Source organism: Homo sapiens, chromosome 2, assembly GCF_000001405.40.
Source record: "Homo sapiens chromosome 2, GRCh38.p14 Primary Assembly".
In the NCBI taxonomy this organism is placed as follows: Eukaryota; Metazoa; Chordata; class Mammalia; order Primates; family Hominidae; genus Homo; species Homo sapiens.
The window spans coordinates 37,976,616-38,001,481 of record NC_000002.12 but is presented as its reverse complement, the minus strand read 5'-3'; the positions used below and the strand labels follow the sequence as shown (position 1 = coordinate 38,001,481).

The window sequence follows — 24,866 nt, the reverse complement described above, 5'->3', positions numbered from 1 at the left end:
CAGGCAACTAACAACACTGAATTCCTAAGGTAAAACAGATTCTGACCTTTCACAAAAGGACTTGGATGAATTACAAGGAGGGTAGCATTAGCTAATGTTTCAATGTAATGTTCCAATGATGAGGCAGTTTCTAGAAAGGCCCTTAGAACACTCTTTATCATAACACCTGGCAAAGAATATTATACATATTTAATTTGTCTTGGCTATCCAAGTTCCCTGAAGGTAGGAACTTTGTTGGTCATTTCTGTGTTCCCAGTATTTGATGCCATGTTTGGCACTAGTTATGTGCTTAATAAACACTGTTGAACAAATTAGCTCTTCTTTAAAACATCTTATAAGCTCAAGCAGCAGCCTTATACCATATCAGGACACAGCCAAGAGTTCTGCAGCTGGGGAAGCCACTAGTACAGACTCAGGGATCATATGACTGCAAACAATAAGTGCAATCAGGGTAGCCTGTCTCCCAACATTGCCACACCTGTCATTTACTACACACACCCATCCTCTGATCCAGTGGTTTCCAGCCATGCCAGCAGCTGCCATTGGAATCAATAGTTTTATGATCTTTAAAAACACTGATCAACGTTTAAAAGCACATACCATATGACACAACAATTCCACCCCTAGGTTCTTATCCAAGAGAAATAAAATATGTCAATACCAAACTTGCATTTGAATGTTCACAGAAGCTTTATGCAAAATAGCATCAAACCAGAAACAACTCAAATGTCTATCAGTAAGTTAACACATAAACAAATTATGGTATATCCATATAATGGAATATTACTTAGCAATGAAAAGGAGCTGCTGATACACTCAATAAAATGAATGAATCTCAAAACAGTATGCTGAGTAAAAGCCAGATATACACAAAAGTACATGTTGTATGATTCCATTTATATTAAATTTTAGAATGGGCAAAACTAATTTATAGTGATAGAAAGCAGATCAGTGGTTACTTGGGGCAGGAGATGGGGGAAATTGACAGCAAAGAGGCAAAGAAAACTCTCTAGGATGATGAAAATGCTATCTTGAAATGGTGGTGGTTACAGTGGTGGTTACATAGGTATATAAGTTTGTCAAACTTCACTGAACTGTACACTTAAAATGGGTACAATTTATTGCTTATAAACTATACTTCAAGATACCCAGAGGTTCTGAAACAATGAGTCTGGGTCATGGCCTGGGCTGCCATTTTGTAAGGTGCCTCAGATGACTGCAATGCACAGCCAAGGTTGAGAACCACTGCCCTAGGGAATCATGCCAGAATTTTGGATGAGGTGGGAAGCATGCTATAGTTTGAAAGAATTTCCCCAGGGGATTCACAGATGACTCCTACAGGTGTCTAAACCACCTCCCTAGATGCTTTGAGGCTGTGGAGGACCAATTTTCCCCTGCTATAATAGCAAAACAATAGTAGCTAACATTGATTTTTAGTTAGAACATTTAACATGTTAGACCCTGGGGTAAGAATATAAAATATATTATTTTCTGTAACCTTCACAAAAACTGTACAAAGTAGGTATTATTATGGCCATTTCACGGATGAAGAATTTGAGAGTGGGAGAACTAAGGAAATGTGTGTCCAGGTCATTCAGACAGGAAAGGCTCAGGTCTCAACTTCACTTGTCAACTCCAAACCTAGTGTTCTCAACCTCTACGGGATCCAGCTGGATGGCTCTAGAGACACATTCCTGGCCCCTGTGAACGCTCTTTGGAGGGGTGGATTCGGGGCAGTCTGGGTACCAACAACACGGCCTCCTGTGTTGTAGGACCCGGGGGTTGCAGACTCTCCTGGGTGTGGGAGCCAGGGTCTGTGCTGTTTCCCTTTCATCTCCTCCACTTCCCAGATTTCTTAGTTCCACCACAGCCTTAGCCTCAGCACTCCAGACCCCTCAGTCCTCTCAGCTGTTCTAGTAAATATGGCAAGAAGCATTCCTGATGCCTCCTCTCTTTTCTTTGACAAACAACATGGAAGGCATTTTGAGACTAAAGTCTAAGTAATGACCTAATGCGGGGCTCCCCAAGATGGTTTGCTGAGGTGTTTAAATTTTAATGAAATTAAAATTCCGTGAGTTTTTGCTGAGGACTTACTGGGTGCTAGGCACACTCTAAGCAATTTACTTGTAAGAATGTAGATAATCCTTACAACACCACTATGAGGTAAGTACTATTATCTCCATGTTATTGATGAAACTGAGAGAGAGGTTAAGCAATTTGCGCAGTGTTAATCAGCTGGTAAGTGGTAGAGCTGAGATTTAACCAGGTAGTCTGGTTCCGAAATTTGCATTCTTTACCTCAGCATTATTGTGCTACTTACCACTTTTGATTTCATCTGTGTATTATTTCAGGCACATTAGCATCTCAAGAACTTTTCTACAGTGTTCTGAAAACCTGCTCCTCAATTATAACTTTGATATTATGAGGAAATGAGTTTTGAGTACAGATAACATTTTTGCTAGTTAATGTGGCATCTTTTATATAAATATTTTATCTTAAATAGATCATAATCTACATTCTTATACAATTTAAAAAGAGGGAACTAATTTTCAGTGGTAGGAAAAGGGTGAAGAAATGGGAGTGATACAGTCTTAGCCTTCACTTATATTTAAATCAAATCTTTGATTGTCATTGTGTGAAATGCAACAAATTAAGTTCCTGAGGTATTGACTCCCTTTTTATACAACAAAAAAAGGGATCACATTACATAAAAAATAAGAAATGTACAGCCCGTTTCTTTTTTATTTTTTGAACTCTTTTCTGCTGGGCTTGTGCTTGATTTCAGGACACTTATTTTTTCACTTGAGGCAGCCACTGGCCATTGGGGGTGAGAGATAGAAAGTGAGAAGAAACCTAGACTACATGATCTACAAATTCCCTCTCAGTTCTACAAAACTGCTCCCTGAAATACAGCACAAATATTAGCATGTACAAGACGTTTATTATTATTATTTTTGAGATAAGGTCATGCTCTTTTGGTCAGGCTGGAGTGCAGTGGTGTGATCATGGCTCACTGCGGCCTTGAACTACTGGGCTCAAGTGATTCTCCTGCCTCAGTCTCCTGAGTAGCTGGGACTGTTGTTATGCCACCATGCCCAGCAAATTTTTTTATTTTTTTGTAGAGATGGCATGTTGCTATGTTGCCCAGGCTGGTCTCAAACTCCTGGCCTCAAGCAATCCTCCTACCTCGGCCTTCCAAAGTGTTGGGATTACAGAGGTGAGCCACTGCATGCAGCCTTGTCTGTATTTTTGTAAACTTGAAGTAGGTAGGTTGGGAAGGAAAACACATTTAGTAACTATAAAATTTTGAAACTGGTTCCAGAGAAAGGTAAAGGGATTATTACCCCCACAGGAAGTTGATTATATGGGTGGCTATATTATACATTTACATGTGAGCTCACACACACATATATTACTGCTTAGAGTTGTATAGTACAGCGATTATACATTTTAAGACAGGATTGAGAATACTGATTTGGTCTGATACCCCAAGAATCTTCCAGAGAAATGTCTGCAACTTTAGGAGTTAGCTTTTAAAATAACTCTTCCTTTAGCACTTTTATTTCCTTAAGATTAAACTGGTTCTATGTTAGGCTAATCAGGAGGACTGGGACTAAGTTTAACCATCAGGGCGTGACTGTTTCTGCACATGCTCAAGTGACTCAGAGAGCTGTTCTTGGACTTAGCAGTAAGAGCTGTCAAACCTAAACCTTCATTTAGGCTGCTGGGTTATTTTTAAAAAGTAGTTTGTAATTCCTAGAACCTAGGGCATAACTAGTTGTTCTAAGGAGTTTAGACTTAAAACATATTAATAACTTGCATTATGAGGGGCTTAAAACAGAACATGCCAAAACCAGGATTCAAACTGAGGCTCCACATGGAGAAAAGATTTCCTTGACAACGGCAGCAGGGATTGGTGCAGATGGTAATCAGTCTGACACTAAAATAATGGATACACAAAATGTACCTTAAGGAAATTGTGTAAAGCTTCTTGTACAGTTGAAGATGGTATTTTTCCAAACAGAGTAGCAGCCATTTTTTTCTCAATCCAGCTCAGTTTTGAGACCTGCAAATACACAACAACATCACTCTTAGAAAGTTGTTCACCTTTTGAATGGATTATCTCTCCCCAGTTAGACGTGTGTGTGTTATGTGTATATACGTGTGTGTGTGTATAGATATAACATATACAAATGAAAACATATATCCATAAATAATATATATTAGAGATACCACCCTCATGGTATTCATGTTAATATTTTACCTTCCTTTTTCACAATTCTAAAGAACCATGGGGTCCAGAAGCACTGGTTTCAAAACCAACCTGAAATACTCTGGATAAGAAGATTTGTGTCAAATCAGAGGAAAAAGGGGTGGGGTGGGAAATAATGCTGATCCCGTTTGTTCATCTGATTCTGGATTCTGAGGTAACTACGGTGTATCTCTTCGTACAGCACACAGGGGCTACAAGACTCCGCCTTTGCTCTCCTCCTGCCTACTCCATGCTGCCAACTGGCCTCCTGACCCAGAGGTAGCATCTCAGATATGTAAATAGAATAGGGATCCTCAAGCCAGAAGGAGCAGGGAATGGGGACCCACTATACATATTTACAATCCCGAAGATTTTTTAAAAAATCAGTAACCACCAAAACTAAATTTCATATTACCACTGATTTTTTTGCTTTCTTCTAAAAAGTTTTGCTCTTTCCCCAAATATAAATATTAGATGTTCATTCTAAAAGATTAAACTGGCTCAAAAATGAACACTTAAAAGGGTATTGACCCAGTTGATGCTTGTCCAACCCCATAAATTATCTTCCTTCTCAGTCCCATCACCTAGATTCCTTGGTAGCCAATATCCTCTTTTTTTTTTTTTTTTTCTTTTTTTTTTTTGGCAATGTCTCACCTTGTTGCTCAGGCTGGATCATACCGTACAGCGGCACGATCATGGCTCACTGCAGCCTCGACCTCCTGGGCTCAACAATCCTCCCACTTCAGCCTCCTGAACAGTTGGAACTACAGGTGTGCATCACATGCTCAATTAATTTTTTAAATTTTTTGTAGAGACAGGGTCTTCCTATATTGTCCAGGCTGGTCCTGAACTCCTGGGCTCAAGAGATCCTCCTGCCTCAGACTCTCAAAGTGCTAGGATTACAGGCATAAGCCACCTTGCCCAGTCCATTATCCTCTAATTTAAAAATTATTTCCTTATTTTTTGACATAATTTTTCTTATTCGTATGCTTATTTTTGCTTCGCTTTGAACTTTGTAAAAAATAATATATTGCTTATTTCCTTATATGACTTGCTTTTTCACTTAATGGTATGATTCTAAGATTTCATCCAGGATAATGAGTATGACTGAAGTTCAGTCATTTAAATAACTGAAATATTTCATCATTTCAACAGTGGAGCACATTTGTGAGTCTCTGTAGGGTAGGCACGATCACATGGCAGGCAAACAGTCAAATTTAAAAGATGCTAATCAATGGTTCCCAAGGTAGTCGCGCTGATTTATGTTTCCACAGCAATCTAATAATTCCCGCTGCTCCATACATATCCTTGAAACACCTCATACTGAGATTTTACAATTTTTATAAAAAGAATAGGAATAAAATGGCATCTACTTGGGGTTTTCATTATCATTTCTATAATTTTGTTTTTTAAATTTTTAGTTTAATTGCATTATGATCAGAAAAACTGCATGACATCAGTTCTTTGAAATGTATTAAGACTAGTTTCACAGCCTCATATATGGTCCATTTTAGCACACATTCTGCATATGCTTGAAAAGATGTCTATTCTCCAATGGTTAGCCACATGGCTTCATATTTATTAGATCAAGCTTATTAAATGTGAGGCTCCAATGTTTTACAAACTAATACATTTTTGTTTTCTTGTTCCATTAATTACTAAAAGGGGTGGGTGAAAATACCAGTATATGGTTGATCTGTACATTTATCCTTATAATTTGGTCAATTTTTATTTTATAGTTCTGAGGCTGTTATTACAAGCACACTAGTTTATAAACACTTTCCTTGTGAATTAAACTTACTATATAGTTACACTCTTTATCTCTAGATATACTTTTGCCTTAAAATTTATGAGTGTGTGTGTGTAGTAGTAGTAGTAGTAGTAGTAGTAGTAGTAGTAGTAGTAGTCATCCCCTCTTCTTCAGGGGGTATATTCCAGGACCCCCAACAGATGCCTGAAACCATATATATGTTTTAGTTTGATTATTATTTATTTGGTTACTATTTGATATAACTTTTCTACATGTTTACTTTCTATGTTTCTCAGTCACTAGGTATTTTTTAAATTGGCTTTACTGAGGTATAATCTATATAAAATAAAATTTCCTCCATTACAAGTGTACAGTTCAGCGAGTTTTGACAAATGCATACAATCCTGTAACTGCCACAACAACCAATATATAGTACATTTTCATCATCCTAAAAAGTTCTCTCATACCCCTTTGCTGTCAATCTCCTTAACCTGCTCCTAGCCCTACACAAATACTGATCTGACTATAATTTGCCTTTTCTAGAGTTTCATATCAATGCAATTAGGTAGTCTTCTGTGAGCTTTCTCGGCATAATGCTTTGAAGAGTCATGCATGTTGTTATGCTGCTAAGGCTGCTATGAAAATTCATATGCTAGTCTTTGTGTGAGCATATATTTTTATTTCTCTTGGTGAATACTTAGGAATTGATAATGTATTTATTATTCACATATTCCCATTGAAACATATGAGTTTCAATTGCTCTATATCCTCGCTGGTACTTGGTATTGTCATCTTTTAAATTTTAGCCCTTTTAAAAAGTGAATAAATAGCGGTCTTTCTCTGTGGTTTTAATTTGCATTTTTCTAATGACTACTGATGATCAGTATCTTTTCATATGCTTGCTTACCACTCACAGACTTTCTTTTGTTAAGTAATTGAAATGTGATCTGGAAAACAGTCAAACATATGTGGAAACACTTCTAGTTTTCATCTTTTCAATTTAATTTTATGGCTATAATTGGTGTTGGACAACATGCTGTAATTAGCATAGGTAATGTTATAAAGACTGCCTGACATCATGGAGGAAGAGAAAAGCTCTGTTAAGTCCTTCTGAAATTTCTAGCTTGTCCTGTTACATGGCCGTAACAGTTTATTTTCAGAAAGCAGCACTGAATTTTGCTCATGCTGCTCATCTATCCGATGCCAATTCCTCTTATTTTAAAAAACACATTATAGCTACATATTAAATATTCTGTATCCCACATTTCCAAAATCTGAAGTCTTTTTAGGTCCACTGCTGGTTTTTTGTTTTGTTTTCTGCTGACTGTCATTACTGTTGGCTTGTTTCCTTGTATAGTCTATAATTTTTGACTGTGAACTCATCATTGTTGGGACACTTTCTGTGAAAGTTTGACAAAGCCTATCTAAAGGTACCTTCCTCTACAGAGGATTAGCATGTGCTTTTGCCATTTCTCTATGGTGTGAAGATCAGAGTCCATTTTGAATTAAAATTTCTTTCTTGAGCTTTTAAGTCTAGACAGGTAATGTACATTGAAGCTCCAGACACTTGTGAGGTTGGGTAAACGGCTTTTAAATCTTAGCAGCGTTTCCTCCTTTCAACTCTATCTTCCCAATTGTTAAGGCTGAAAATGAATTTTCACTGCTGTAAGCTTGTGCTGAATAAATTTTATTTAAGTTCATCTCCCCCCCACCCCCCACCAGGCATTGTACTTTTGGAGTCCCAGATATATTGTGGCAGTCTTCAAGCTGCTCTCTGCTCTGCTCAGGTCTCTAGTCCCCCAGTCCCAACAAAGGTCTACAGACTAAGCTTTAGGTTACCAGCCTTGGTAAATGCCTCCGACTATCAGGTGGTTTCAAGGCTGGCTTACCAGTACTTGGAACTGGTATTCTTGCTTTGTTTCTGGCCTTTGGCTGTTCCCCTTATTGTTATTTTTTTTTTTTTCTGTAGGTTCTTCCATTGACCTGATTAGAAACAGACATACACACTTCAGACTAACACACACTTTAAGATATTGTGTGGCCAGAAAATTTTGAGTTCTCTAGTCTGCATATGCTGGAAACTTTCTTTACACATTTGCTCATACTTGCTTTATTACCTTGGCGGAAGCTGATTCCCCCTGGTGGAAAGAGTTCCAACTTCCTCTTCCACAATTCATATTCATTATCTATACTTATAATTTATAGGCAGTAGAGCTTACTAGTTAAGAGCAAAGATTTTAGAAGTAAACTGCCTGGGCCAGGTGCGGTGGTTCATGCCTGTAATCCCAGCATTTTGGGAGGCCGAGGCAGGTGGATCATTTGAGGCCAGGAGTGTGAGACCAGCCTGGCCAACATGGCGAAACTCCGTCTCTACTAAAAATAAAAATAAAATAAAAAAATACCCGAGCGTGGTGGCACACGCGTGTAATCCCAGCTACTCGGGAGGCTGAGTCAAGAGAATCACTTGAACCCAGAAGGTGGAGGCTGCAGTGAGCCGAGATCATGCCACTGCACTCCAGCCTGGGTGCCAGAGCGAGACTTGGTCAAAGAAAAGAAAAGAAAAAAAAAAGAAACAAACTGCTTGTGTTTGAATCCTGTTCTCCTGCTTATTAGCTGAGTGACCCTGGGCAAATTATTAACCTTATTAACCTTATAGGGTTTTTGAAAAAGTGAGTGAGCTACAATATATGTTTACAGTCACATAAAATGCTTACAAGAGCCACGTACACATTAGCCATTATTACTACTGCTTTTTATTCTTTGTTTTTTTTGTACTTTTTCTCTAGTTTTAGTGAATCAATCATTTAAGAAACAAATACTTGTAGAAGCAGCTTATTTTAAGTGCAAAAAACTGAGCTAGATGCTGAAGAAAAATTACCAGGAAGTGTAAAATGTGCATTCTTTCCTTGAAGAGATTTCAGATAACTTGGGATCAACAGAAAAGAAACAGTAAGTAAAACATGTGAGTTGTTGGAAGGTAATACAAACTTAGCAAATTAACAGTATACTCAACAGTGCAATATTTCAGAGAATGAAGGCATCATTGTGTATTTTACAACATTAAGTAGGTTATAAAAATTTGAGTGTTGTAATCATTCTATTATTTGACTTTGCCATCTTACAACCAGGAAAAAAAGAGAAAAACAGATGATATACCTTTACTCCTTTTTCCTTAACAAAATGTAAGTTTTCTTCGTACGTAACACAATATAAAGAGCATAAATTTTGGAATTCAATTTCAATTTCAATGCTGCCTCTTTCATTGACTAGTTAAATGGGACTTTGGGAAGGTTCTTAACATCATGAAGACTCAGATTTTTAATCTTTTAAAACTGGTATAATAATAACTGCTTCACAGCACTGTTTTAAGGATGAAATGCAGCAAGAAATATAAAGGACAGAATGCATATTTGGCATAGAGCAGGTGTTCAATAAAAGCAAACTTCCTTCTTCACCTCTAATTCTCTTTCAGCTGCAATGAAGAAGTTATCTCTTTGCCTACCCCAATTTTATCATTCAAAAATGGCATTGTCCTTTCACGATAATTTTTTTCACATATTCTTAAGATACATTTTCACATTCTGTAATTTTCTATAAACTAATAGTGTCATTTAAGACACGGACCAGCTGCTTTTATTTGAGCTATATATGTCGCGTATCCCTTCCAAATTAAGTTCCTTAAAAGCAAGGAGTGTTTTATTCATCCCTGGCCAGTTAGTTAGCACATAATTTGTGCTCAGTATACACTACTGGATGAAAAAAAGTCCTCTCACAGAACCGTGAATAGTGTACCTAGACACAGGGTGTGTGTGTGGATTGTTGATCCCAAACTGAGACAGCCACAAAGGGAGGGAACGTGACTACTGCAAAAAGAAATGAAAAAGCAGGAAAGAAAAAGATCACATATATATAAAATGTGGCATATAACATACAAATATATATAAATTACAAGTTTATAAATTATAAAATACATAGATTATAGCTTTTAAAATTATAATGTATAAATTATAAATTCAGATACAATTTTAACATATATATTATACATTAAAATAAAATTTTATTGCTATTATAATTCTCCCTAAAGTAGGCACTGGGTAAAAATAAAACAATAAGTCATTGAAAATTTATCCTATAATCATAGTATATTCAAATAAAGTTTATAAATAAAGGCATTCAACTTACAGTATAGCAGTATCTCCCTTTGAGGTAATATAGAAAGGGTTCCTCTGGTAAAAGTTTGATTGCTATATCTAGATGTTCCTGAAAAAAGCATCCAAAGGAAAATCATCTCCCAAGTTTCAGATATTGTTGACTGGAACTACACCAAAGCCTAGTAACTCAAAAGTGGTTTTAAAATATTGTCTCAGTTCTCCCCATCCCTATCATTAATACAATGAAATCTTATCAATAACTAAATTACCAAAAATGATTGCTTACAACCAGAACCAGAACTGTGACTAGGATTTAATAAAGCTATGTGTAATTTAAAGCCAAAATACTGTTATAAAAATTGAAAACACCGAAGTCATATGTTTGCCTACCCATGACTTGACTAGTGAATAGTTACTGATTCTGAGGTGAGCTTACAAATATCAAATGACATGGAATAGGGGATAATGGCAGAAAAAATAGCAGAGTTAGATGGGGGAGAAACCTATTCCTCTGGCATTATCAAATGGTTATAGGGAGCTGGAAAATAGGGAAGAACAGTTTATTCATCTCTGTAATTATTGACGTTGAGGGGTTATGTATTGAGCTATGGAGGCAAATACTACATTTTGTGTGTGTGTGTATTACTTACTTTATTTGTCTATCATGGCAAACTTAAATCCTACATTGGATCCTACTTTTCCTCCACCAAATCAATATGCAGAGATTGTTAACTACTTAGTGCTGGTCACACTTAAGATGTTATTGAGCTTATGACCAAAAGGCCTTTTTTTTTTTTTTTTTTTTTTTTTGAGATGGAGTCTCATTCTATTGCCCAGGCTCGAGTGCAGTGGCATGATCATGGCTCACTGCAACCTCCGCCTCCCTGGTTCAAGCGATTCTCCTGCTTCAGCCTCCCAAGTAGCTGGGATTACAGGCGCCCGCCACCATGCCTGGCTAATTTTTGTATTTTTAGTAGAGATGGGGTTTCACCATGTTGGCCAGGCTGGTCTCGAACTCCTGGCCTCAAGCAATCTGCCCGCTTCAGCCTCCCAAAGTGCTGTGATTACAGGTGTGAGCCACCACACCCGGCCGGCTAATTCTTAATCTTTGAAAAAGTGATACTCATCTACTCCGTGACTTCTTTCAGAATCTGGACTAATAATAATTTTTTTTTTTTTTTTTTTTCAGACGGAGTCTCACTCTGTCACCCAGGCTGGAGTGCAGTGGCGTGACCCTGGCTCACTGCAAGCTCCGCCCCCCAGGTTCATGCCATTCTCCTGCCTCAGCCTCCTGAGTAGCTGGGACTATAGGCGCCCGCCACCACTAATTTTTGTGTGTGTGTATTTTTAGTAGAGATGGGGCTTCACAGTGTTCGCCAGGATGGTCTCAATCTCCTGACCTCGTGATCCACCCACCTTGGCCTCCCAAAGTGCTGGGATTACAGGCGTGAGCCTCTGTGCCCGGCCAACTAATAATAATCTTTAATCACCCAAATAATTTAATTCTTTTTGTCACAGTACTATTTAAAGAGTATAATTTCATTTTCTAACATTTAAACAAAAAAGCAAATTCCCAGAGCTTAATCTGTTGAATAATCTGGTTTATACCCATTGATGGAACATATGGCTACATTAAAACATTTTTATTATTAATAAATACCCTTCCATATGTCTGGATCTGAAAAGAAATATGAAAAAAAAAAAAGAAATACCTTGAAGAGGTGCCCATAGTTGATTTTGTTTTGTAAACCCTCAAACTCAGATACATAGCCACACAAAACTGCATACCTGAAAAGGACAAAAACAGACAAAAACAGTGGCCACTGTGTAAATTTTTAACAAAATGCCACCAAAACATAACATTAAAAGAAACTCTAAAGCATTCATTCATATTTAACAGGAGTATTCATATAAATATAAGGGCCCTAACAATAATAAATACTTGACATTAACATGAGGCCAGTTTTCTCATCTATAACTGGGGATACTAACAATATTTACATGTATACTGTGAGGGTAAAATAAGCCAAAACAGGTAGTGTGATTAGAACAGTGACCAGGACATAAGGACTTTCAATAAATGTTACCTGCCGCTATCATCATCATCAATATTAAAGTCATGAAGAAACTCTCAGAAAAAGTCTAATCACATTAAGCATTAAATTAGAAAAAATATTGTCAACAGATTTATAACATTAAAAATACTGTTAAAGTCAACTTAAAAAATTCATTCCCTCCTTTAAAAAACTTACAATTTCATGAGCTCCTTTAATACCAATAAATATGCAAATAAATACCACGATTAAAACAAAATCAAAGGTAATTTTAGAGTATGCTTTTTCAAAAAATTTCCCCTTCTCCTTCAACCCTTCCTGGAAACACTTCATTGCTAGAATAGTGCATCCCATGGGTCATTTATTTGTTTCCACTGAGAATACAAAAATTTATACAAATAGTTATTTGACTTTAAGTTGCATGCAATATTTGTTCAGCAATTTGCTTATTTACTGGAAAAATTGAAGATATGTTGCTTTTCACATTCAGAGTGTTTCTACCTGTACAAAAATCTTTGAAGTATTTCAGAGTGTTTTTGTCTAAGGTAAAATATCCATTTACTTAAATATTTCGAGTAGGTGTTAATTTTTACTTGCATTGTCATAGTAACTAAGATGAAAAATGTAACTTTGGATGTTATTTATCTCAGCCATTTCTATGAATATCCATAACTTCCAAGTACAAAAAAACAGTGAATAATTTTAATTTGGAACAGTAAGACCATTCCTAGACACAAACGATAACTTAATTCATACCACATATGGACAACCAATAAAATGGCCACTTTTCAGTTATGACCTTTTTGATCTCTGTTTTCAGTTTCTGTATAATCAACAGAATCTGCTATAGTAAAAGCAAGGAGGAGGACCATATCAACGTACTAAAAACAACCTCAGAACTTAACTAGATTAGGATACACTACTACTCACGAGTTCTAAAATCAGACTGAATTTCATGTACCTCTCTAGATCCACAATAAATCTTTCCAGAGATTTCAAATTCAAGAAAAGCAGATTAACAGAAAATGACTCTCAAACTGCTTTATAAAAACTTATTGTTGCCTCAGGCCTATGTTCTTTTATTTAAAAAATTAATAAACTATGTTTTGGAGCACTTTTAGGTTCTCAGCAAAACTGAGCAGAAAGTATGGAGGATTCCCATATATCTCCTATCCTAGCCCCTACATTATAGCCCCCACTATTATTTATTTATTTAGAGATGAAGACATGCTCTATCGCCCAGTCTGGAGTGCAGTGGTGCAATCTTGGCTCACTGCAACCTCTGCCTCCCAGGTTCAAGCAATTCTCATGCTTCAGCTTCCTGAGTAGCTGGGACTACAGGCATGTGCCACCATGCCTGGCTAATTTTTGTATTTTTAGTAGAGATGGGATTTCACCATGTTGGCCAGACTGGTCTCGAACTCCTGACCTCAGGTGATCTGCCCACCTCGACCTCCCAAAGCGCTGGGATTACAGGCAAGAGCCACTGTGCCTGGCCAACTTCCCCCACTATTAACATCCCACTTCACAGTGGTACATTTGTTAAAACTGATGAAACTACACTGACACATCAGTAACATCCAAAGTCCGTAGTTTACAATATGGTTTGTACTTGGTGTTTAATATTCTATGGGTTTTGACAAATGTATAATGACATGTGTATACTGTTGTAATGTGTTACATAAAAGTTTTACTTCCTATAAAAATCCTCTGTGTTCTGCTTATTCATCCCTCCCTCCCCGCAACCCCTGGCAACCACTGATCCTTTTACTGTCTCCATAGTTTGGTCTTTCCCAGAATGTCATATAGTTGGAACCATATAGTATATTGCCTTTTCAGATTGCCTTCTTTTACTTAGTAATATGTATTTAAGGTTCCTCCACATCTTTTCATGGCCTTGATAGCTCATTTCTGTTTAGCCCTGAGTAATTTTTCATTGAATGGATATACCATAGTTTTATTCATTCGCCTGTTGAATATTTGTTAAGCGTTTCTCATAGAGATCTTGTACATACTTTGTTCATTTTCATCTATGTATTTCAATATTTTTGGTGCTAATGTAAATAGTGTTATGTTTTTAATTTCAAACTCCACTTCTTCATTGCTGGTATAGAGGAAACTGATTGACTTTTGTACCTTAACCTTGTATCTAGCAACCTTGCTATAATTGCTTAATCCCAAGAGATTTTTTTTTTAGATTTTTTACAAAGACAATCATATCATTGTCTTTGCAAACAATTTTATTTCTTCCCTCCCAATCTGCATACCTTTTATTTTCTTTTCTTGTTATATGGCATTAGCTAGAACTTTCAGTATAATGTTAAAAAGCAGTGGTAAGAGGGAACATCCTTACCTTGCTCCTGATCTTAGTTTCTCAATGGTGGGAAAGCAAGTTTCTCACCATTAAGTATAATGTTAGCTGTATGTTTCCTGTAAATGTTCTTTATCAAGTTGAGGAAAATTGATAAAATTTTCCTCAACTTGATAAAGTTTGCTGAGAGTTTGCTAGTTTGCTGAGAGTTTCTTTCTTTGCACTATCAATGAGTGTTAGATTTTGTCAAATGCTTTTTCTGTGTCTGTTAAAATAATCATGTAATTTTTTTCTGCTTTGGTGTGTTAATGTGGTGGATTATAGTAATTGATTTTCAAATGTTGAACTGGTCTTGCAGACCAGGAATAAATCTCACTTGGTTATATAATTCTTTTTACACATTGTCAGATTCAATCTGCTAATATTTTATTGAAGATTTTTGCTTCTATATTCATGAGAGATAATGGCCTACTACAGTTTCCTTCCAGTGTCTGATGTTGGTATTAGGGTAATGCTACACTCAAACAATGAGTTAGGAAGTGTACCCTCTACTTCTATCTTATGTAATTGGTATAATTTTCTCCTTAAGTATTTGGTAGAATTTACCAATGACCCCGTCTGGTCCTGATGCTTTCTGTTTTGGAAAATTATAAATTATTTATTCCATTTTTTCAATAGAAGTAGGCCTATTCAAATTATCTACTCACCATGTTATTTTGAAATGGCCTCTGCCATTCTGTTCAATGTTTCCTCTCAACGAGTTCCAGTTTGGGGAACAATTCTAATCCTTCCAAATTCAATATGACTACCTCCCCAAACTCTCTATTTTTGTCATGGGCATTATCATTTTCCAAATTATTTGGACTTAAAACTTTAGGCCACTTTCTATTTAAATATACTTTTAGAACAGCTTTGAATTTACAAAAAAATTCTCATAGTACAGACAATTCCCTTACATGCCACACCTAGTTTTCCCTATTGTTAACATCTTACATTACTACAGTACATTTGTCAAAACTGTACCAATATTGATATACAATATTGATACAAAATTGTCACAATGAACCAATATTAATACACTATTAACTAAAATCTATATTTTATTCAAATTTCTATCATATTTCCCTATTATCCTTAGTCATTTTTGACATCTTTCTCTCCATCCTTCCTTTCATATTTACTTCTATTAATTCATAACTTGTTAGGTATCTTTTTCAACATGTTAAAATCTTTTGAGTTACTGTTGTGATCCATCATATACCCTGTTACTTCTAATTTTGTGTTCTCTGTAACTTTTACAAGCATACTTTCTATATCTTCACCCACCAACAAAATTACTGAACACACTGGGGACCAAGATACAGACCTGGCCCTAGAATCACCCCCAGATTGACAGTGATCTGTTGCATAACTGAGCCTCAAACCGTTTAGTCAGCATGGGTTAGCTGACTCAAAGCTTGACCACATTTCTACATCTTGTCCAAAAAATGTTATGAGTGAACTTGCCTCAGTGCTTTACTTCAATCCAGGTATACTGGATTGATTTCCCTACTCTACTAGCAAAATAAATAAATAAATAAATAAAAAACAGATCATTTCACCTTTTTAGAAAAATCTGTCTTGGTTCTCTTTCAGCGTACACACTTATCTAGAGATGCACAAAACAACCCATCTAACCGTGCTGGAATGAAAAGCATAGATGCTATGTTCACTGGTCTATAGTGGTAGAATCTATCTTCTGCTATTTTCTGCAAATCAGAACTACTTATGGATATCTCTAGGCTTTTATTTTGCTCTCTCAACATATTCTCTCCAAGTTACTCTGAGTCAAGGGAAAAAAAACCCCATGATTTATAAATACCATAATATGAAATATGTACATTTTCCCTTTTAAATAATCTGCCCCTAGAGTTACATTTTTCATATTTTTTTGGAATCTGCTTCTTTAAAGTTTAAAATATTATCTATCATTTTATGTATCATAAATTCAAAGCTACCTGGTCACTTTCTCCCAAAGGGTCATTACTTCTTTTCTTTCAATCCATTCTACCTATGTTTGTGTGTGTATCTGATTTTTTAATACTGTTCATTTAAAATACTTAATTTTATTTTTTTTTCTCAAATACTCAGGCTGATGGAAATTCTGAAAAAAGTTAATTCACAACATGGTATATTACCTCCATCTAGAGGTCATTCTAACTACATATGTTTTGACAAGAACACTGTATTTTTCTTTGCATTGATAGTGAATATATCCTTAATCATTGACTATCATACTGTTTCAACAACTACTAAAACAACTCCATTAATTTCCCTGCAGTATTTCTCATTCAGCACCAATGCTGTTTATACTATGAAAAAGCAGAGGCAGCATACTGTTAACAGAAAAATGACTAGGCATATAAGAATACAAAACTGGGTTCTAGTTTCTGTTTTTCCACTTGTTGTATTGCTCTGATTACTAATCAATACACACATTCATGCGTGCATGCACACATACACACAGTACCTTGCTTACCCCATCTATAAAGTGAAAACAAGCTGCTCTGTAAATCACATGTTCTAAGACATGTGGATATAATTTGCAAAGGGTAGAGCACAACCAATATGTAAGACATTACTTATAATTAAGGTCTGGCTTATTTGGCCAACAAACTGCAAATCCATTGGTCACTTTATTCTCATTCTCTTGATTCCAGGAGTATTAAATATTTTTTGTCAGTAGAACAAAAACAACTGAATCTTATAGAAAGCATATACAGCCTTAAAGTTACAAAGTCATTTCATTTTAGAAAAGATAGAGATAAAACTAAGTCATTAGAATGATCTGTATTTTTCAATCATTCCCAAATCATACTAACCCTTTTTGAAATTTATTCTTAAAGATTACATCTTTTGTTTCAAACTGAAGGTTTGTAAACCATCATATAATACTGTAAACGATGGGTCTGCAAACTCTTGCAGTAGGGCCAGATAGTAAACATTTTAGACTTTGGGGCCAGTCTTTTGCAACTACTCTGCTGCTGTGCAAAAATGCCTGTGTGTGGCTGTGATCCAATAAAACTTTATTTACAAAAACAGGCAGTCAAATTCATCTGCAGGCTATAGTTTGTCATTCATGCTGAATGAATGAGAATATGTCTTATTATCATACTAATAAATTCAGCCTTAATTCAGTTTTAACATAATTAAAGAGAGTCCAGCAGAATAAGATTTGAACATTTTATTATAATTAATTATAAAATCAGGCCACCTAAATTTCACCCATTGCTTCTCAAGTCAAAGTTTAAATTTCTTTTTTCATCCCCTCAAACATCTACTATTTAATTTAAGGAGGACTTTTGCATTCAGTGGGATATAGTATAAGAATTAAGATTAAATTGACATTTAAATTTCTCAAATCTTAATCAACTGATTAATTTTATTTTTTTAATTCAAAACTGATACTGAATAAGAAATTAGGTGAAACACAATTGAATCACTACTCTGTGTTTTGATAAGATTTAATACTGGGGTTAAATGCTATGATTATAAACAAGACAAGGCATTTAGTTCTCAACAAAAAGTAAAAGAAGATGAACAAAGGAGATGTAACCAGATTAGTGGAAGACAGACTGGGAAACCCAGAGTTCAGCATCATCTATGCTCACAAGATACATTTCAAGGTACTTAATGAAGCCCTCAGAGAAAATTCAAATTCAACATTGCTCCTCTATGAAAATTTGGAAACCCACACTGATAAATAACCTCAAATTGACGATTTACACCAAATGCACATTTTTAATGTGATTCTTCATGGGTACAGATGCATGTGGGAGAGAAGGAAGAGGACAGAGGATGGGAAAGGAAGAGCAATAGACGAGGGAGAGAAAGAAGAGAAGGAAGAGGAGGGGAGGGAACAGAGGAGTCAGAGGTAAGAGACAGGAAGAGTAGGGGAGGAGGAGGAGGAGTTGAGAGTTAAAAGTAGGACTTCGGTGTTCTTTCTGCATCCTAATTAGGCTAACCAGTTCCCAAATACCTCCATTATCAAACGCGATGAAGAGAGAGAGTAGGGCTTGATCACCACAAATTCATTACAGTTACTACTAAACGTAGGAACAGAAGTACTTTAACATATATGTTAATTTACTAGTGTTATTATGTAAATTAGATTATCTAGGTAAACCTGGCTAACATAAATAATTGCCAAGACCCTCTGTTCTAGGGAAATGATCTTAAGTCTGTACCAAATTGTTACCTGAAAAATTACCTTTTTCCCTAGAATTTTGGCAGAGGCACCGAGTACAAAACAATACTTTATCTATTAGGTACTCCAATCCCTAAAGCAAGATTCTCTACTATCCATCCGCGACACACTAAGAAATTATTCACAGGTTCTGCCAGATTTAGCCCTTCACTCTTCTCCAGGCTACGTAAGATAAGGAAAATAATTCACCAGAGGGAGGAAGAGACTGGGAGTGAGGATTTCTACAGGGTTAGGGTGCTGTGGGTTCTGCCTTCCACTCTCTCATGACAGAGGGCAGGGGCTAGGCTTGCATCTCATCTAAAGCTATGTGAGGGCAGCATCAAAAAGTCTATTCATATTTTGGCATGTGTCCCTTTGAGTTCGGACAAATAAAATGTTACCGGATTCCTCCCCAGGGAATTTTAAGTGAGAGTTTGTGAGTGGAGCTCCCCCTGCTGGTGGCAGAGTGAAAAAAGAGGTCTCCTTTGAGGAAATGGTTTGTACTTCAGATTTTGGTGGGGCAAAAATGAGTCTTCTGTGGGACAAATGTGGACCTGTGGAAAGGGAGTCATTTTAAGAGAGATTTTGCCTAAGAGTGCCCCTACATCATAGGGATGGGAAATAAAGTAACCGCAAAGAAGGGTGGATTTCTGGAAACTTAGGGCTGAAGAAAGGGTCATACATTTATTATTGTATCTTCCCACTATCTGGGGCACCTGTATTGCTGGAGAGAAAAAGAAACCAAGAGAAAAAGAAAACAAATGTAAAAATGCAACTACAAGAAAAAGGAAGAATAATAATTTAAAACAATATATTCCTTATTGTTTTATAATTTATAATTTATATTTATAAAATAATGTTTACATAAACATACAAAGGGTCCAAACACAATTAAGAATGATTTTTTTTTTGCTCTAAGGATATTTACCTATACCAATCTAACTAATTAAATTCTCTTTGTTTGAACTTTTAATATCATAAATGGCTTTTCCTTGATCTGTGGAATTTGTATATTACGATGCATCAATGCATAAGAAATGGTTGATGTGCTTTTCTACATTTCATTTAGAAACATGCTATCATTTTAGTATTTGTGTTCAAGCAAAATGTTATACTGAACTAGATTTAATTATAACGTATCATCTTCAAAGCCAGTAGACTTGGTAGATTCATTCAATAATTTTTCAATAAAAGTTTCCCTTAAATATATTTCAAGGCTGCATAATAAAAATGTGAATAAACAGAATAAGAACAGTTACTGTGCTATTATACATATTTTTCAGTGAATGTGACTGACAGATTAAACGTATGAGTCAATAGTATTTTGAAAAATCCATTTAATTTATAAAGAGGCAGGTTAGAATTTAAAAGACTGCATAAATCCTATACACTTACCACAGATGACAATGTCCATTCATGGGTGCTCTATTAATAGCTCTTTCACTTAAAGTTTTTCCTGAAAGATAAAAGTACTTACACTTAATACCTTCATGTGAGTTGGTAGGAGGTGGATTATTGAATTAACTCATGGTTCACAAAGTATGGTCCCAAGACCAGAAGCATCAGCATCACATGGCAACTTTGTTTAAGAACTTTTCAGCCACATTGGAGATCTACTCCATCACACACTGTGGGATTGGGGCCCAATAATCTGTGGTTTAATGAGCCTCCAATGATTCTGATGTATGCTAAGGTTTGACACCCACTAGACTAAGCAACTTAACCAAGTGCAAGAAACGTCATTTAATTACTGCTTACAAAGCGTAATAGAAATTTTCTGTATTCCATTCAAACAACATTTACTGAGTACCTACTATGTGCCATACTGTGTGAGTGTCTGGGAATAAAATGTAAAATAAGACAGAGTCCTTGACCTCCAAGAGCTCACCGTTCAGTATGCTGCAGGCATATAAACAAGTAAGTTACATGCAAGAAAAAAAAAAAGACCAAGGTGAAAAAGAGGGCACAGCAGAGTGGGTAACTCTAACTCTGCCTGAAGGAGTAAGGGAAGGCTTCCCTGAGAAGTTCTTGCCTAATCATTCACAATAATGAACAGGGCCAGTGACATAAATAATTCCCCCAAATTATTTTACTTAGTTTTAGAGGAATTTTTAACCATGTAATAATTAATTTGGGGCTGGACCTGGTGGCTCACACCTGTAATCCTAGCACTTTGGGAGGCCGAGGCAGGTGGATCACCTGAGGTCAGGAATTCGAGACCAATCTGGCCAACATGGCGAAACCCTGTCTCTACTAAAAACACAAAAATTAGCTGGGCGTGGTGGTGCATGCCTGTAATCCCAGCTACTCAGGAGGCTGAGGCAGGAGAATCACTTGATCCCAGGAGGCAGAGGTTGCAGCGTGCTGAGATTGCGCCATTGCACTCCAGCCTGGGGGACAGAGCGAGACTCTGTCTCAAATAAAAAAAAACCAAAAATAATAATAATTTGGATAGAGGTTTGTTTATGGCTTGGAAAATCTAAATACCTGCAAATAAAACAGAACTGTGTTCTGAGAATCTTTCTCAAAAGGGGCCCTTTTGTTTTATAACTTCTTTTCTCCCTGATCCATTATTATTATCTTGAAGAGACTATCCAAGGATATGCAAAATGCTTTTCTAAATAAGTGGTTGAGATAATCTTTATAAATAAAAATATTTTATTCTAAAACCACGGTTCTATTTGTTAATTTGTTAAGGTGGCATTCTACAGTTCTATCCATTAAGATAAATATTCTGTGTAGAAATCGACATAAATTGGAAACAATTAAAAAGTGAAGCATTTTAATAATAATTAACTGCAGTGTGAACAAATATTAAAGAAATTAGCAATTTTAAATGAATGATTAAAAACATGCTTTTTAATGTAAAAACATTAAAAACTAAATCAATTTTTTAGCTACATTACCAAATGAATAAAACTTTCAGCGTACTGCCAGAAGCCTGAAATAGAAGTGATTCCATCACTCCAAGAATATAAAAAGACGCCGGGTAGTATACAAACTAGATTCATAGCCTCACTTATGCAGTCAGAATAAAAGTAAAGCTATTTCCTTTAGAGAACTGTATTTTGTGATCTTTATGATGCATTCATATCGATTACTTAATTAGGAAAGTTAGAAAAATGTTTCTTTAAATAAAGATTCATATCATAATACTTCAGAAACATACTGCATAATGATATACTCACTTTGAGTTTTATCAAAGAATTTTGTACTCTCCAGTGATCAAATCTGTACTAAGCATAACAACCTTAAACATGCTATTATGAGAAGAAATCTTCTGCACTTCCTCCCTCATGCTGAACCCCAACGTTCTTCCACGGCTGGTCTGAGCCCCTGCCTTGCTCTCAGTTCCAGTATACTTGGTCATTACCATTACTAAGCACTTACTCCTTATACACTGAATATAATTGGCTGTCCCTTTATTATCTTTTCCATAGAATAGGTTCCGTAGTGTTGTGCAGCCTTCATCTTATTTATGCCTCTCCTTCTCTCCCTCCTCCCCTTCCCTCCACCCTTCGTTTTCACACTGTTCCTTGACAAAATAATTTTGAATAAATATTTCTTAAATGGATAAATTAAAGGAATTCTTTTACTTTTATTTCAATATCTGAATGAACACATCGGAGGCTTTTTCTACTCCTTTTTCTTTGGCACTATAAACTCTTCTCTTTTGGATATATCCTATTTCAATTCTATGCTTCATTTTAGCCCCTGAATTCCCTTCAACCTATTTCTTTACGAATTTCACCATCTAAGACATTAACTCAGTTAAACTCCCATTCCATTTAAGAATAGAGATCCAGAGCGATTTTACCTATGGCAAACTGTAACTTCCATAAGAAAGACTTCCCTGCATCAACCTCCATCCTCTGCCATCATATTCTCCTTTCTGCTACATATGCTCGCAAACAGCCTGTTCTCTATCTATCTATCTATCTATCTATCTATCTATCTATCTGAGAAAGGGTCTTGCTCTGTTACCCACTCTGCAGTGCAGTGGTGAGATCATGGCTCACTGTGGCTTTGATCTCTTGGACTCAAACGATCCTCCCACCTCAGTCGTGTTATTTTTAGTAGAGACAAGGTCTCCCTATGTTGCCCAGGCTGGTCTCGGGCTTCTGAGCTCAAGCTATCTGCCCGCCTTGGCCTCCCAAAGTGCTGGGATTACAGGCATGAGCCACTACATCCAGCCTCTGTACTCTTCTTTAATAAGAGCTTATTTCCATTCGTTTTTGTATATGTATGATTATTTGACTAGTGCTGCCTCCCCTACAAAGCCATAAGCTCCCCTGTAGCCTGAAAACATGTCTATTTTGCTATCCTATTCCTACCTTAGTACATAATACCCAGGGTAGGGCAGGTACTTATGAAAAAAATGTATTTACCTTTCCCTCTCCCTCCCCCTCCCTCTCCCCCCTCCCCTTTGCACGGTCTCCCTCTGATGCCGAGCCCAGGCTGGACTGTACTGCCGCCATCTCGACTCACTGCAACCTCCCTGCCTGATTCTCCTGCCTCAGCCTGCCAAGTACCTGCGATTGCAGGCACGCATCACCACGCCTGACTGGTTTTCGTATTTTTTGGTGGAGACGGGGTTTCACCGTGTTGGCCGGGCTGGTCTCTAGCTCCTGATCGCGAGTGATCTGCCAGCCTCGGCCTCCCGAGGTGTCGGGATTGCAGACAGAGTCTCACTCACTCAGTGCTCAATGTTGCCCAGGCTGGAGTGCAGTGGCGTGATCTCGGCTCACTACAGTCTCCACCTCCCAGCCGCCTGCCTTGGCCTCCCAAAGTGTCGAGATTGCAGCCTCTGCCCGGCCGCCACCCCATCTAGGAAGTGAGGAGCGTCTCTGCCTGGCCGCCCATCGTCCGGGATGTGAGGAGCCCCTCTGCCCGGCCGCCCAGTCTGGGAACTGAGGAGCGCCTCTTCCCGGCCATCATCCCATCTAGGAAGTGAGGAGCGTCTCTGCCCGGCCACCCATCGTCTGGGATGTGGGGAGCGCCTCTGCCCCGCCGCCCCATCTGAGATGTGAAGAGCGCCTCTACCCGGCCGCGACCCCGTCTGGGAATTGAGGAGTGTCTCTGCCCCACTGGCACCCCGTCTGGGAGGTGAGGAGGTCTCTGAGCGGCCGCCCGGTCTGAGAAGTGAGGAGCCCCTCCGCCCAGCAGCCGCCCCATCTGGGAACTGAGGAGCCCCTCCGCCTGGCAGCCGCCCCATCCGGGAAGTGAGGCGCGTCTCCGCCCGGCAGCCGCCCCGTCCGGGAGGTGGGGGCAGCCCCCGCCCAGCCAGCCGCCCCGTCTGGGAGGTGGGGGCGCCTCTGCCCGGCCGACCCGTCTGGGAAGTGAGGAGCCCCTCTGCCCGGCCACCACCCCGTCTGGGAGGTGTACCCAACAGCTCGTTGAGAACGGGCCATGATGACGATGGCGGTTTTGTCGAATAGAAAAGGGGGAAATGTGGGGAAAAGAAAGAGAGATCAGATTGTTACTGTGTGTAGAAAGAAGTAGACATAGGAGACTCCATTTTGTTCTGTACTAAAAAATTCTTCTGCCTTGGGATGCTGTTAATCTATAACCTTACCCCCAACCCTGTGCTCTCTGAAACATATGCTGTGTCCACTAAGGGTTAAATGGATTAAGGGCGGTGCAAGATGTGCTTTGTTAAACAGATGCTTGAAGGCAGCATGCTCGTTCAGAGTCATCACCACTCCCTAATCTGAAGTACCCAGGGACACAAACACTGCAGAAGGCGGCAGGGCCCTCTGCCTAGGAAAACCAGAGACCTTTGTTCACATGTTTATCTGCTGACCTTCCCTCCACTATTGTCCTGTGACCCTGCCAAATCCCCCTCTCCGAGAAACACCCAAGAATGATCAATAAATACTAAAAAAATTTAAAAAAAAAAAGAAAAAAATGTATTTAATATTGATGAATGTTGGAACACTTTACATAGATATACTTGGATTTTCTCAGTAGATATGAAAATAAATCCCCTTGTTCTCCTTGGTTAAGTTTTTATTTATGTTGAAATTAATACATCTCTTCTCTAGAATTCTGTTTTGTATATGGTCTGCAAACTGGAATGCTACAGAAAAACTCCACAAAGCTGATGATGAATATGCAAACAAG

The 24,866-nt window shown here is 37.6% G+C and overlaps 1 protein-coding gene and 1 long non-coding RNA gene across 19 annotated transcripts in view, besides 1 other annotated feature; one reads left to right on the top strand and one right to left on the bottom strand.

The window, feature by feature from the left end:
- RMDN2 (regulator of microtubule dynamics 2) overlaps positions 1 to 24,866 on the bottom strand; it is a 146,238-nt gene that overhangs the window by 65,657 nt on the left and 55,715 nt on the right. For all 18 annotated transcript variants that reach the window (XR_939668.4, XM_047443519.1, XM_047443518.1 and 15 more), the window contains 4 exons: positions 20,139 to 20,199; positions 11,866 to 11,941; positions 10,185 to 10,262; positions 3,968 to 4,066 (listed from right to left, as the gene is read on the bottom strand). Coding sequence is in view for 17 of the 18 variants with exons in the window: in XM_047443519.1 (XP_047299475.1) it covers positions 3,968 to 4,066; positions 10,185 to 10,262; positions 11,866 to 11,941; positions 20,139 to 20,199 (314 nt within the window). In the remaining variant the exon portion in view is untranslated. The remainder of the gene's footprint in view (positions 1 to 3,967; positions 4,067 to 10,184; positions 10,263 to 11,865; positions 11,942 to 20,138; positions 20,200 to 24,866) is intronic.
- RMDN2-AS1 (RMDN2 antisense RNA 1) overlaps positions 1 to 24,866 on the top strand; it is an 86,008-nt gene that overhangs the window by 34,860 nt on the left and 26,282 nt on the right. The gene's annotated exons all lie outside the window — the stretch shown is intronic.
- Positions 20,748 to 21,111: a silencer, noted in NCBI's record as "fragment chr2:38207514-38207877 (GRCh37/hg19 assembly coordinates)". NCBI's record gives its function as "represses an EF-1alpha promoter that drives an FKBP-Casp9 reporter gene in an ReSE screen in K562 erythroleukemia cells {active_cell/tissue: K562}" and the evidence as "EXISTENCE:reporter gene assay evidence [ECO:0000049][PMID:32094911]".